This window comes from Homo sapiens, chromosome 2, assembly GCF_000001405.40.
Source record: "Homo sapiens chromosome 2, GRCh38.p14 Primary Assembly".
NCBI classification, from domain to species: Eukaryota; Metazoa; Chordata; class Mammalia; order Primates; family Hominidae; genus Homo; species Homo sapiens.
This window is the reverse complement of record NC_000002.12, coordinates 31764799-31780191: the sequence shown is the minus strand read 5'-3', so window position 1 is coordinate 31780191 and position 15393 is coordinate 31764799. Positions and strand designations below refer to the sequence as shown.

At 39.0% G+C, this 15393-nt stretch overlaps 1 long non-coding RNA gene across 2 annotated transcripts; it reads left to right on the top strand.

Annotated features, from left to right (window-relative positions):
* Positions 1-7279: 7279 nt before the first annotated feature.
* Positions 7280-15139, top strand: LOC107985863 (uncharacterized). 2 transcript variants are annotated; one of them, XR_001739390.1, is made up of 4 exons: positions 7280-7429; positions 14216-14324; positions 14839-14949; positions 15041-15139. It is a non-coding gene; the product is annotated as an uncharacterized LOC107985863 (long non-coding RNA). The 2 variants fall into 2 exon arrangements; XR_001739391.1 differs by lacking the exon at positions 14216-14324.
* Positions 15140-15393: the final 254 nt, after the last annotated feature.

Genomic DNA, 15393 nt, shown 5'->3' with positions numbered 1-15393 from the left:
GTGGTAACGAATTCCCTCAGCATTAGCTTATTTGAGAAAGATCTTATTTCTCCTTCACTTACGAAGCTTAGTTTGGCCAGATGTAAAATTATTGGTTGGAATTTCTTTTCTTTTCTTTTTTCTTTTTTTTCTTTTTTTTGAGATGGAATCTTGCCCTGTTGCCCAGGCTAGAGTGCAGTGGCACGATCTCAGCTCACTGCAACCTCTGCCCCCTGGGTTCAAGCCATTCTCCTGCCTCAGCCTCCCTAGTAGCTGGAACTACAGGTGCCCACCACCATGCGTGGCTAATTTTTGTAATTTTAGTAGAGGCGGGGTTTCACCATGTTGGCCAGGCTGGTCTTGAACTCCTGACCTCAAATGATCCACCCACCTTGGCCTCCCAAAGTTCTGAGATTATAGGCGTGAGCCACTGTGCCTGGCTGGAATTTCTTTTCTTTAAGAATGTTGACTTTAAGAAAGTCTTCTGGCTTGTAGGGTTTCTGCTGAGAAGTCTGCTGTTAGTCTGATGGGCTTCCCTTTGTAGATGACCATGCTTTTCTCTCTAGTTGCCTTTAACATTTTTTCTTTTATTTCAACCTTGGAGAATCTGATGATTATGCCTTGGGGATGATCTTCTTGTGAAATATTTTGTGTGGGTTCTCTGCATTTCCTGAATTTGAATATTGGCCTCTCTAGCTAGGTTAGGGAAGTTCTGATGCATGATATCCTGAAATTCTCCCCATCTCTTTCAGGGAGACCAGTGAGTCACTGATTCAGTCTCTTTACATAATTCCATATTTCCTTTCCCCATTGCTTGTTTTTGTCAGGTTTGTTGAAGATCAGATGGTTGTAGATGTACAGTTATATTTCTGAGTTCTCTATTCCGTTCCATTGGTCTATGTGTCTGTTTTTGTACCAGTACTATCATGTTTTGGTTACTGTAGCCTTGTAGTATAGTTTGAAGTCCAGTAGTGTGATCCCTCCACCTTTGTTCCTTTTGCTTAGGATTGTCTTGGCTATATGAGCTCTTTTTTGGTTCTATATGAATTTTAAAATAGTTTCTTCTAAGTCTTTTTTTTTTCTTTTATCCTATTTGATGACCTTGGGGGTTTGATTGTGGTATAAGGTGGATTCAGTTATCTGACTTCATTTTTAGAAGATTTTATGGAGTCAAGGCTCAGGATAGGACTCCTGGCCCACATGCTCTAACTCTGGGGGACTGATATGGAGCTCTCACTTTGTTCGCTGACTCCTTGAGGTTTGGAACTTGCTGTTCTAGAAGGGCCAAGGGTGCTTCCAGACTGCTGGTCACAACACTTTGGTGGGTGTTGCCAGCCAATGTACTTCATAGGGCAGTGGCATCAGGATCCTTCCTAGTTCACATGTGCCAGTAGCAGCTGCAGCTGCAGTGTGGTGGGGTGTATACTCCTTGGCTGCAGCAGGGTGCTAGTGTGTGCTAGGTTGTCAGCCTCCATGCAGGCATTTGCAGCAGCCACTGGCGTTGACAGCATGGTGGCTTGTGGGTATTGCTGGGGCAAGGGTGGGGCCACCAGCAAAATGTGTGTGTTTGTTCGTGCATGTGATAGTGTTAGCATGGGGGTGGGGTGCTAACTGGCACAGGACTGTGTGACTCCTCTGTGTGTTCTCCTGTGGGCAGTGGTGGCCGCTTAGGGTGGGGGTGGATCAGTTTTTCTCTGTGCCTAGTTTTGCACCATGGCAGTTTTAAAGCAGGGGTGGGGTGCTGGTGGAGGTGGGGCTGGCGGGCTGTATGCCTGCCAACTCTCTGATGACAGCGGTGGTGTGGCGGGGGTGCTGGTGGGGACTGGGATGGTGTGCACTCACAGTGGCAGCAGTGGCATGGCAGGGTGCACGTGCACATGCATGCTGGTTGGGGAGGAAAGGCCGGGCCTGCCTCTGCACACACATGCTGGCAAAGCGATGCAGGGGTGTGGCCGTGGGCCAGTGTGTGCAGGCAAGCAGCACACAGGAGGTCACCAACTGTTGCGTGTTCACTGGGACCCGCTCTGCTGGTCAGGGGCACTACACCATCCTCAGGAGCTATGATGTGAACCCCAGGAGGTACCTGGGGGCTGCATGGCAAGCAGGTACAGCCAGATTGGGGCTTCAGGAGAGGCCAGCAGATGAGGGGTGCTCAGGTTGGACTGGCCCTGTCTCATGGGCCAGATCACCCAGCAGGGTTCAGGTCCAACAGTTCCCCTAGGGCTAAAGTCTCCTATGGGAGCAAGTCAAGCCTAGGGGGATGGGCAACCCTGGCAATGCTCCACTGTAGACACTTGTGCTCCAAACCCTCTGGGTTCCACTTTATCTGGAGTTCTGCCCCTACCACTTCTCTGGGCAGCTCTCCCTGCCAATTCAAGTTTCTGTGGTGATCAAGGGGTCTCCCCCTGCCAGGATTCCAGAGCCCATGGTGAGAGTGGGTTGCCCTTTGCCTGTTCAACTCACCCCTTTCCCTGGAGTCACTGGGGGCCAGGAATGAGTCCAGTGCATGGTAGCCCCAAGCACGGTTCCCAGCTTCCTCCCCTTTCAGCCCAGCATCTGTCTCCTCTTCGTCCTCTCTCAATGCCTTCCCTCTGAAGATCTGCTAGGAGTGCACCAGTCTTCCTGATGCCCTGGACCCTCCATGGGAGATGTTCCTCCTGACTGTCTAGTTGGCCATCTTGCCCCCTGAATCCCTCCCTGGAGTTTTGAACTCTCAGAGCCTCCTGCAATTAATTCACGCTGAATCACAAGCAATTAGGCAATTACAGTTCAGGTTTTCCTACCCTGGCACTGGTTCCCTTGGAGGTTTCTGCTTTAGATTTCTGCTCTGGTAAGTTGTGATTCTCTGTATCCACTTGTCTGTCTCTCCAATTTTTGGAGCAGTGGTTTGCCCTGTGGCCTCACTTTTCTGATGGATCTATGAAGAATTGTTGATTTTTCAGTTTGTTCTAGTTTTTACTTGTTAGGGTTGAGTTACGACTTCTAAGATCCTTAACTGTCAGCCAAAATTGAAAGTGTTGGGGAGATGTTTTAAAATGATGATTCTTAAACAGTTAATAAATACAATTTTTAATTGGTGGTTAATAAACCAATATCTTGCTCATAATATAAGTGAATGAATGAATCAATATTTTTGCATCAGTTGTGATAATTTGTTGCAGATTTCATGTCTTTCACTACATTGTAGTATCCAGAGTGCCATTGCCATGTTTTGATCAGCTTTATGTTCCAATGTATTTAGAATTGTGCCTGGCATTTCGGACCCCGAAAAAATATTGATTGAACATATTGTGAGACTGAGAAAGGGGATTAAAAAATAGTTGCAAAGTAAGAAGAGAACAGTTCATTCAAGAGATTTTTATTGAGTGCCTACTATGTGCCAAGCACTTGTCTAGGTACTAGTGGTAAAGTAGTCACAAAACAAAGATTCCTATTCCCATAGAGCAAATATTCCAACAGGAGAAGGGAAAATAATTAAACTTAACAAATAGGTTAATTATATAGTATATTAGAAAGTGGTAAGTGCTAAGGTCAAGAGAAAAAAGTACAGTGGGAAAAGGGAAATTGGAATGCTGGAGTTGGTAAGATTGGGGTTGCTTAGATTAGGCCTTATTGAGAAGGTTATTGGTTATTCAAAGCCCAAGAAACAGCTTCTACAAAGGTCCTGAGGCAAGATCATGTCTCAAATGTTTGAGGAACAGCAAGGGGGCTCATGTGGCATTAGAGAGTTAATGAGAGGGAGAAGAAGATTAGATTATGTAGATAATTGTAAGAATAGTATGTTCTTTCCTCCCATATATGTTGAGTTTGCTTTGTTAAAAGGTCTATTTCTGGACTTTATATACTGTTACATTCATCTACTTGTCTATCTTTATGCCACTACCATACTACCTTACTTATTGTAGCTTTTCATTGAGTCTTGAAATCAGGTAGTGTTAGTTCCCAAATTTGTTCTTCTTTTTCAGTTGTTTTGGCTATTCTAGGACCTTTGTATTTCCAATACGAATTTTAGAATCACCTTGTCAATTTCTACAAAAATGCCTGCTGGGAATTTATGAGAATTGTTATCTTAACAATATTGAACTGTCTGACGCAGATATGAGTGTATTTCTCTGTTTATTTGGGTCTTCGTTAATATCTCTCAGCAATGTTATTTAGTTTTTAGTGCACTAGTCTTTCCCAAGTTTGGTCAGATTTATTCCTATGTATTTCATATTTTTTGATGGTATTGTTTTTTAAGTTTCAGTTTCCAATGGCTTTTTGCTATTATATAGAAACAATTGATTTTTGCATATTGCTGTTGAATACTACAACTTGTTTGTAGTTGTAAAACTCAAGCTTGCTAAATTCATCCATTGTATTAGCTTTTAAAAAATATATTGGGTTTTTTACATAGACGATCACATCATCTACAAATAGACAGTTTTACCTCTTTCTTTCCAACCTGTATGCCTTTAATTTTGTTTATCTTATCTGCTTGCAGTGTCTAGAAACTTCAGTATTATGTTGAATAAGAGTGGTGAGAACAGATGTCCTTATCTTGTTCCTGATCTTAGAGGGAAAGCACTCAATCTTTCACCATTGAGTATGACATTAACTAAGTTTTTTGGTAGTACCCTTTATCAATTGAGGACACTTTCTTCTTATCCTATGTTGCGGAGAGTTTTTATCAGAAATGAAATTTGGTTTTTGTCAATAGCTTTTTCTGTCGAAGATGATCATGTGATTTTTCTATTTTAGGTAGCTAATTGTATCAGTCAGGGTTTTCTAGAGGGACAGAATTAATAGGATAGACGTATATGTAAAGGGAAGTTTATCAAGGAGTACTGACTCACGCAATCACAAGGTGAAGTTCCACAATAGGCCATCTGCAAGCTGAGGAGCAAGGAAGCCAGTACAAATCCCAAAATCTCAAAAGTAGGGAAGCCAGCAGTACAGTCTTCATTCTGTGGCTGAAGGCCCGAGAGCCCCTGGCAAACCACTGGTGTAAGTCCAAGAGTCCAAAAGCTGAAGAACTTGGAGTCCAATGTTTGAGGGCAGGAAGCATCCAGCATGTGAGAAAGATGAGAGCCAGAAGACTCAGCTAGTCTGTTCTTCCATCTTCTCCTGCCTGCTTTATTCTAGCCGCACTGGCAGCTGATTAAATGGTGCCCACCTAGAATGAGGTTGGGTCTGCCTCTCCCAGTCCACTGATTCAAATGTTAATTTCCTTTGGCAACACCCTCACAGACACACCCAGGAACAATACTTTGCATCCTTCAATTCAATCAAATTGACACTCAGTATTAACCACAACACTAATATAGTGAATTATATTGATTGATTTTTGAATCAATTGCTTTCCTGGGAGAAACCCCACTTGGTCATAGTACATTACCCCTTTTATATATTATATATTGGAGTTTTAAAATTTTGCTTAGAATGTTTGCATATATGTTTAAAAGAGGTTGATCTACAGTTTTCTTGTAATGTCTGGTTTTAGTATTAGGGTAATGCTGGCCTCATAGAATGAGGTTAGAGAAGTATTTCTTCATTTACAATTTATTGGAAGAGTTTGTGTAGAATTGGTATTATTTCTACCTTAACTTTACTAGTGAAGATATCTGGGTCTAGAGATTTTTTTGTGGTGGGAAGGTATTTAAATACCAATTACATTTCTTTGATAGATATCAGGTAATTTATCAAATCTACCAAAGTTCTTCTTGAGTGAACTGTGATAAATTGACAAACAAGGAATTTGTCCATTTGACCTATGTTGTCTTGTTTTTGGACACAAAGTTGTTCACTTTGTATTCCATTGTTATCCTTTTAATTCTAGAGCATTTGCGATGATGCCACATCTTTCATTTTTATAATTAGCAATTGGCGTGTTCTCTCTTTTTTCCTGATTAGTATAACTAGAGGTTTATTAATTTTATTGAACCTGTCAAAGAGCCAACTTTTGGTTTCATTAATTTTCTCTATTGGTTCTATCTATTCCTTTGATTTCTGCTTTAATCTTTATTATTTCATTTCTTCTGATGATTTTCAGTTTAATTTGCTCTTCTTTCTCTAGTTTCATTGGTGGAAGCTGAGGTCATTGATATGAGAACTTCACTTTTTTTCCATTCCAGACATTTAATACTATAAAAATTTCCCGAAGTACTGTGTTAGCAGCATCTCACAAATTCTAATATGTTGAATTTTAGTTTTCACATTTGGTTCAAAATATCTTTGGTTTTCCTCTTTGATTTTTTGCTTTGACTAATGGATTATTTAGAAGTGTGTCTTTAGTGTTCAAATATTTAAGAATTTTCCAGATAACTTTTTTTTTTTTTTTTTTTTAGATGGGGCCTCACTCTGTCACCCAGGCTAGAGTGCAGTGGTGCGATCACAGCTCACTGCAGCCTCAACTACCCGGGCTCAAGTGATCCTCCTGCCTCAGCCCCACAAGTAGCTGGGACCACAGGTGCGTGCCACAATGCCTGGCTAATTTTAAAAAATTATTTGTACTGACAAAGTCTTGCTATGTTGCCCAGGATGGTCTCAAACTCCTGACCTCAAGTGATCCTCCCACCTCAGATTCTCAAAGTGCTGGGATTACAGGTGTGAGCCACTATGCCTGGCCCAGATAACTTTCAGTTATTGATTTCTCATTTAATTCTTTGTTGTCACAGAATGTATTCTGTATGACTTGAATGCATTTAAATTTGAGTCTTGTTTCATGGCCTTTCTTGGTTTATGTGTATAATTAAAGATAATATGTATTTTGCTGCTGTTGGTTGGGGTGTTCTATGAATGTCAATAAGTTCAATTTGGTTGATAGTGTTATACAAATCTACTATATCTTTACTGATTTTCCTTTTACTTGCTTTATCAATTATTGAGAGATGGGTATTGAAATATCTGACCATAATAGTGTATTTGTATATTTCTCTTTGCAGCTTTATCATTTTTTGCTTAATGTATTTTGAAGCTCTGCTATTAAGTATGCAAACATTTAGATTGCTATGCCTTCTTGATAAATTGACACTTTCATCATTATGAAATGTCCTTTTTTATTTCTGACAATATTTTTGCTCTGAAATCTATTGTGTCTGATACTAGTATAGCCCTCCTAATTATTTTTTCTGGTCTAGTGTTCTGTTTCCATTTGTGATGGCTAATTTTATGTGTCAATTTGGCTAGGCTATGGTGCCCAGTTATTTGATCAAACACTAGTCTAGATGGTGCTGTGAAGGTACTTTTTAGATATGATTAACATATACATCAGTTGACTTTAAGTAAAGCAGATTACCCTCCATAATATAGGTGAGCTTCATCCAATCAGCTGAAGATGTTAAAAGCAAAAACTGAAGTTTCCTAAAGAAGAAGGAATTCTGCCTCAAGACTGTATCATAGAAATCTTTCCTGAATTTTCAGCCTGCTGGCCTGCTCTATGGATTTTGAACTTGCCATCCCCCACAATCATGTGAGCCAATTCCTTAATATCAATCTCTCTATGTATATATGTATACATACAAATGTATATATTATATATATAATCATTTATATCTTATTTTTTGACACACCGTCTTTTTACTTTTAAGCTGTTAGTCTCTTTATATTTCAGTTGCATTACTTGTAGGCAGAAATAGTTGGGTCTTGTTTTTTAATCCAATCTGACAAGCTCTGCCTTTTAATTGGGGTGTTTAGAACGTTTACATTTAATGTGCATATTGGTATGGTTGAATTTGTTTGTAATTTTGCTATTTTTCTATTTGTCCCATCTATTCTTTATTTTTCTTTCCCTCTTTTCCTGCCTTCTTTTATATTAATTATTTTCTACAATTTCATTTGATATCTTTTTTGAAATTTTAGCTACAACTGTTAATTTTGCTATTTTAATACTTGCTTTACTGATTATAGTATAATATGTTCCTTCTTAATATCTTATACTGGTAGTGAGTTTCTCAGGAGTTTGTAGCTGCCCAGTCTTGAAGTATAAGCCTCAGGATACTACATATACTAACAAACTGGCAGAGTTTGTGAGTAAACAAGAGACATCAATGGAAGAAATGTGTAATTACAACTTTTTTGGGGAAGAAAAAGAATAAGGACTTTGAATATTGAGGAATTCAGGTACTAGGTGCAGAAGATGAAAAAATGAGAAAGACCCAGCTGCAAATGTAGGAAGTTACTAATACAGTGGAAGATGCTTAAATGAAAGCAAGTAATTATAAATCAATATGGCAAATATCATTATAAACCAAGTGTCTCTTATATAGTCCCATTGACAAAAATACTCAACTCTCCATGCTCTCTGACTCTATAATACCATTGGAAACATGCTCCTAAAGGTTTTCCAGAAATCCCAAGTGTGCTATTCCTTTCTAGGAGTCAGTGGGTAATGTAGTTTGCTCCTAGGATCACAAGTGATTGCATCAGGATTTGTCTCCTGGCCTTATCTGAGGCAAAAATATTTTTTCTTTTAGTAACTGGGGTACAGTATATCTAGGTATTTAGACACTATGCTAGGAAGAACATTTATGGGCAATTGAGGCAGCCATTTCCAGTATGTGTACAATAATCTGAAAAAACAGGTCTGCACAGGGACCTACCCTTGTCTTATAACATTGCCTAAGACCTCTAGTGGAAGTAGTAGTAGTAGTAGTAGTGATCATTCTTCTTGGTCATGACATTAAAATAAATGTTTTTACTGTGTCACCTAGTTTCTGGTGAATATCTTTAATCAATTTAACACTGAAAAATCAATTATAAATGTAGAATTTTGTTAAATAACTTTAAAAAATATGTTGAGGTGATCAAATGGCCTTCTTTGCATATATGTTTTGCTTAAAATTAGTGTATTGTTTTCTTTCTGTATTATCCTTATTCGATATTGGAATAAGAATTATCCTACCTTCTTTGAAAGAGATGGGACAATTTCTCCTTTAACATGCTCTGTAAATCTTTCTTGGCTTAGTGGTTTGTTTTAGTAGTAAATATTTTAGTACTTTACGTGATTTTATATGGTTATTATTTTACTAAGTTTTCAAAACATTTCAAAAATATTATCTATGCCTTTCTTTAAATGTCTTTGTTGAGATACAACTCGGGTATCATAAAATTCGCCTATATAAATAATACAATTTAATGGTTTTAGTATATTCAGAGTTGTACACTGTCATGGGTTGAATAGTGTCTCCCTAAAAGATCCATCTAGAATCTCAGAATATGACCTTATTTGGAGTAAGGGCCTTTGCAAATGTAACTAAGATAAGGATCTTAAGATGAGATCACCCTGGGCCAGGCTCTGCTTCTAGTTAGCCCACCTACAGCTTCCTCACATGGATAGCCTTTAATCAGGGGAGCTTCTGAGTCCTTGCCAGAGTGCAAGTGATGGTGGCAGACTCCCTTGCTCTAACAAGCCCTGAATAAATAGACCTTGCCTGTTTTCATTTGGTTGATCTTTATTTATTTCCACAGAAGTGTGTGTGTGTCTGAATGCCACTCCTGAATAGAAATGTACTAAAGTCATCGTTGATAATTATGTGGAATTTGTAGATTCTGTCTAAAGAGATAATGAGTGAAGGTTAAATAAAGAGATAAAATATAAGATATATTTTGTACAATTATAATTATTTTATCAGATATTTTCAGCTGCAAATTACTGGGAAAAAAACCTCAGTTTAAAAAATGAGTGGTTTTTTTCCTTCATAAGAGGGCCTGCTTCTTCCAGTGTGCTCTTTTTCAGATCAGTGAGGAAAACCTTCCTCCTTATATCTTCTTCTTCTTCTGTTTCAGTTGGTCAGAAGGGTGTAGACTGGGAAAAGAAACGGGACCATCCTGCTTGACTTAAACCAATAATGAGTTATGCCTCTGGCGCTGGAAGAAAAGGTCCAATTTACAGTAGCAGCAAATACGATAAAATACTCAGAAATAAATTTAACAAGAAATGTAGAAGCCTCATAAAAAGAAAAATTTTAAAAGCTGTGGAGGGAAACAAAAGAAGACTTGGACAAATGGAAAGGCATACTTTGTTCTTAGACATAAAGACTCAATTTCACAAAGATATAAATTTTGTATATAATCTATAAATTTAATGTAACTTCAAAGCAAATGCTAAAAGAATTCTTAACACTAGCAAAGAGATTCTAATGATTAGATGGGAAAAAAGACATGAAAGAATAACCAGAAAAAATTCTAAAATTCAAAAACTATCTTTTTCTGTAAGAGGGGTAGTCATCAGTACAGAGAATCAGTTGTCCCTTCACTGGACAGAATTTGCATGACTGTGGAAAATATCATTTGCCTTGCTCTTGGTTATCTATAATTTATGGAGTAAAACAGCTCAAAGACATGGAAAGGCTGAGATAACCTGGATAAGTGAGCTAGACAAACATCCACTATCTTTTTTTGTCCATTTCCAAGCATTCATGATTTTTTCTGACAGTATCCCCTGACCCCTGCCTTGTGATCATAATAATTATAAAAAAAGAGAGAAAAGATTATTTTGTGATTGAACTAAGCCTGACATTAGATTTGACTTGATTATTAATTATGCATGAAAGAAGAATGTTAATTTACTGCTTAGGTCTCTTTAAATTTGCTTTACCAAATCAAGAGCCATACAGTATTGAAGCATGATAAAATTAAGTTCTTTTTGGAAGTTCTTAAAAGGAATATTACATTGGGCTTTTCTTTTCCTTTTTCTTTGAAACGGCGTCTCGCCCAGGCTGGAGTGCAGTGGCACGATCTCGACTCACTGCAACATCTGCCTCCTGGGTTCAAGCGATTCTCCTGCCTCAACCTCCCAAGTAGCTGGGATTACAGGCATCCACCACCATGCCCAGCTAATTTTTGTATTTTAGTAGAGATGGGGTTTCGCCATGTTGGCCAGGCTGGTTTTGAACTCCTGACCTCAGGTGATCTGCCCACCTAGGCCTCGCAAAATGCTGGGATTACAGGGGTGAGCCACCATGCCCAGCCCTCACATTGGGCTTTTAAAAACTTCTTTTGTTTGTGATATTGAAGCTAGGAAAGCAAACCCAACAAACCCTACCAGATATCACCTGTAGTATCTACAAATGTGTGGGAATTTCTCTCTTCTTGAGGTACCCCCAATACCCTAAATCTTCTGGTCAGCCAGGAAGAGACCTTCTTCACAGCTGTAAGGCCAGGGTACCCTGTAAGCCAGGGAATAGCTAGTTTTCCTAAGAAAGTTTTGTAAGGCACTAAGTTTCTGAGTTTCTGAATATATTCTTAATATATTTCTGGGTTTTTAATATATTTTTGAGTTTTTGTGAGGGTAATTTATTTAAGTTTAGCACATTTAAAGCATTTGAAGTTCATTTTTCTTTTTCTTTCTTTCTTTTTTTTTTTTTTGAGACAGGGTTTTGCTCTGTTGCCCAGGCTGCAGTGCAGTGGTGTAATCTTGGCTCACTGCAACGTCTGCCTCCTGGGTTCAAGCAATTCCCATGCCTCAGCCACCGAGTAGCTGGGATTATAGGCGTGTACCACTATGCCTGGCTAAGTTTTACATTTTTAGTAGAGACGAGGTTTCACCATATTGGCCAGGGTGGTCTTGAACTCCTGACCTCATGTGATCTGTCTGCCTTGGCCTCCCAAAGTGCTGGGATGAAGTGCACTTTTCTGATTTTCTGATTCTTGGGAATATCCCATCTATATAAGCACTTATCTGTCTCTTACGTAAATCCATCCAAAAAACACCCCTTTAATTTAAGAGACTTCGTAATGTAATTTTTTGATACCCCTGGGAGATAGGAAAACATCCAGTTACAAAGAAAGGTACAATCTTTTGAGAGTTATGACACATAGATATACATATACATAGTGAGCTTAAAGCTTCAGTTCTATGTTAGCCACAGGTCAAGAGTTGATACAGAAATACCAAAACACCCTGAAGTAGACATCAAAAAGCTGTTCCCCTTCCTGGTGAGCTTGAAATTCTTGATTGGTTTGGCTCAAAAAAGACAAATAGATAAACAAAAAAGACGAATCAAATTATACATGTTCACTTCACTCAAGGGAAAAATAGATAAGGCCAGGTACAGTGGCAGGCACCTATAGTCCCAGGCTTGATGGTTGCTAGAGCCCAGGAGTTTGAGGTCAGCCTGGGCAACATAGTGAGACCCTCTGAAAAAAAAAAAAAAAGAAAACAGATATCTATAATCTATTAACCTAGTTTTGGAGACCACCAAATGGTCATACATTAAAATCAATTTCCTAATCTTTTCTGACACCAATGGGAAATAATTTATTAACCATAAATGAAACAGACATACATAAACACACAGACAGTAGAAAGGAAGATAAACCAGAGAAATGGAGAGTTAGCAAACTTAAACTTCTTTTGTCACTTGGCGTTTATCTCCAGGAGCTAAGAAAATATGTGCCTGGTCTCAAGCCACTTACTGGATACACTTTCCTGGCAATGTAGTTTACTTGCCTCTGTCAGGTGAATTCATTGGGCATTTTGGTAGAAGATCTCCAAAAAGATACTTTTTAAAAAAGGTAAAATTATGACTCCAATACACACGTAAAATGAACAAGTGTCTGAGATTTTACTTAACCCATTTATTAATGAAGGAGCCAGTAAGATATCACAAGCAGTTTCTTATTTTCAGTAATTAAAATATGATATATAAAGCCATTGTCATATAATGATATAAAGCCACTGTCATATAAAAAGCCATTGTCAAATGATATTATAAAGCCATTGTCTATGATATTATAAAGCCATTGTCATAGGCAAAAAATGGTAAGAAAAAATATTGTAGAGGTATGTCAGGCAGTTAATTACTAAAAACATTTATAATATAATGACGTTATGGTATTTGTTAACTTAAAAGTTTTTTTGCATTGTTACTTTTTATGAATACAAAATTTTGTATTCATAATTTTATATTATTTTATTTTAATAATCCTTCTCCCTAAATTGTATAAGCTTCAGTCTTCACAAAACCTCCTAACAAGAGGCAAGGCCGTCTGTGGAGGTGGAGGTGGAGGTAGAGGTGGGGGTGAAAGGGAGTATGGTGCGGGTTCCTGTTTCAGGATTTAGAGAGTGGAAAAAGTTTGGAGTAATGATTGTAGAACTAGGCTGGAGAGTCAACCAAGGAAAAGAGTAAAGTGGAGGAGAGCTGTCAGGGGGTCTAGCTGAGGTTGAGTAGTGCATCTTCTTTTTTTTTTTTTTTTTTTGAGATGGAGTCTCATTTTGTCACCCAGGCTGGAGTGCAATGACGTGATCTTGGCTCACTGCAACCTCTGCTTCCCGGGTTCAAGTGATTCTCCTGCCTCAGCCTCCCGAGTAGCTGGAATTACAGGCATGTGCCATCATGCCCAGCTAATTTTTGTATTTTTAGTAGAGATGGGGTTTCACCATGTTAGCCAGGCTGGTCTCGAACTCCTGACCTCAAGTGATCTGCCCACCTCGGCCTTCTAAAGTGCTGGGATTACAGGATTGAGCCACCTGGCCTGCATCTTCATTTCTGATGTGAAGAACATGGGGCAGGGACTCTCTCCTAAATAGCATGGTACCATTTAGATTTTGGGTGAGCAGTGAAGATCAGTGTCAGATTCAAGATTTTAAAAATGGATCTGACAGGTAAGGGAATAGCTAACATCTCTGGCAGAATCTCATTAACCCTTTGATGACTTGCTAACATGTGATGTCACTTTTCATTGGGCCTTTGCCTCCTCCACCACTGATTTATCTCTTGTTAACATGCCTGCCCTTATGGTGTTGAGATTCACACACATGTATGCATAGCCTCCTCCATGGGGTCAGATCTCTTTTCCCTCTTGGGATGGTGTGAAGGCAGACTTACGATCTTGCCTCAATTAGCGTTCTTAATGCAATCTCAGTAGTTGGGGAAGCTTCTCTTTACTTGGGCGGTATTTCATTAAATGTTTGGCCGCAGAGCTGAAGTGTGGATGCTGGTGAGTGGAGAGGAAACAGAGTGTGGCCTGGCCTTTGCTTTGGAGCAGGTCTTTCCCTAACGTCTAGGAAACTTAACACTGTGGATGGCCAAGTGGATAAGTAGTCTCTGAAATCAGTGGGGAGCTGCTGCTTCAACAGTGCAGCCAATGAATACTGATGGCTGAACTCACAATTCACCCTGTTACTAATGCATCACTCGATAAGGTAAACTGACTATTTAGGATGGCTGGGGTACAGGAGAAATTATATAAATGTTGATTAATTTGAGGCTTCCTTCCAATTCTCTTTGTAATATCTTGTTGTTTTCTTTACTAGCGAGTTCAGAACATAAGCTCCTCTTCAAAGTAAACACAGGCACATGAAAACTTGACAGAAAAGGAGTGGAGGATGTGAACTGGATAGATATGGGATAAAGTAATAAAAGGTAGTTAACATTTAGTCAGTGGTTAATGTGTGCCAGACATTGTAATAACTTACATATCCAATTACTATCTATCTATTGCCACTAAATTTTCACAATAGCATAAGGCAGATACTATTTTATCTCCATTTTATACAAGAGAAAACTGAGTCTTAGAGAAACTTAATTGCTTGTCAGTGTCACACAGTTAGTAAGTGTCAGAGCCAGGATGCAAACCTATGTCTGAACTCTGAATCCCATGCTTTTTATGAGATGCTGAGAGCTCAGTAGATAAAGGTGAGAGTGGGTGGTTATGGATAGAGAACAGTAGGAGGTTTGAGAAAGAATAAGTTGTCATCACAGGGGTAAGCAACAGGTATCTCTTCTGGTGACAGTTTGAAATTACATTGCAAGTAATTTGTGCTACTAATAATTTGTTGTTACTAATAATGGAATATTTGTGAGTGACTTACATAAAAATAAATTGGAGAAAATTTAATATCACTCTTACCTGGATTCTCATGTGTTTCTCTTTAAGTGAGAGGGAAGGAAGTTGAGTTACAGATGGTTAACTCCCACTTGTATGTCCCGTGCTGGTGAAGTAATACCAGGTGTACATCAACTGTTATGGGAATGAGGTGGAAACAAGGTAAGAATCACCAGACTGAGGATGTTATGCATGGAGGATGTTGCAACTCTCATGAATGTTGCTCTCAAATCTCTTCTCCTTTGGCTCCTAGGGTCTTTGAATAGAGGTGGGGGGAGCAAACCTCTGCTAAAGTAGACACAGAGATCAGAAGCAACGAAGTCAAAGCTGCTTCCCACCAAGCTGTGTGGTCCCAGGCAAGTCACAACTTTTTTCAGCCTTAGTTCCTCTATCTGTAAAATGCAGGGTGTATATGTGGTATACATTTTTGACAGGCTTATTGTGAGAATTAAATGAGATTGTTCATTTAGCTGTGATTACCATTTTGAGAGATTTGATAGCAAGCAAAACCTCTAGTCTTGGTGGGCCGAAGGCCCTCGAAGATGGCATCCTAACAGCAAATTGAAGCCTGTAACTCCTAAGACTTCCACTGTCCCTCCCACGTAC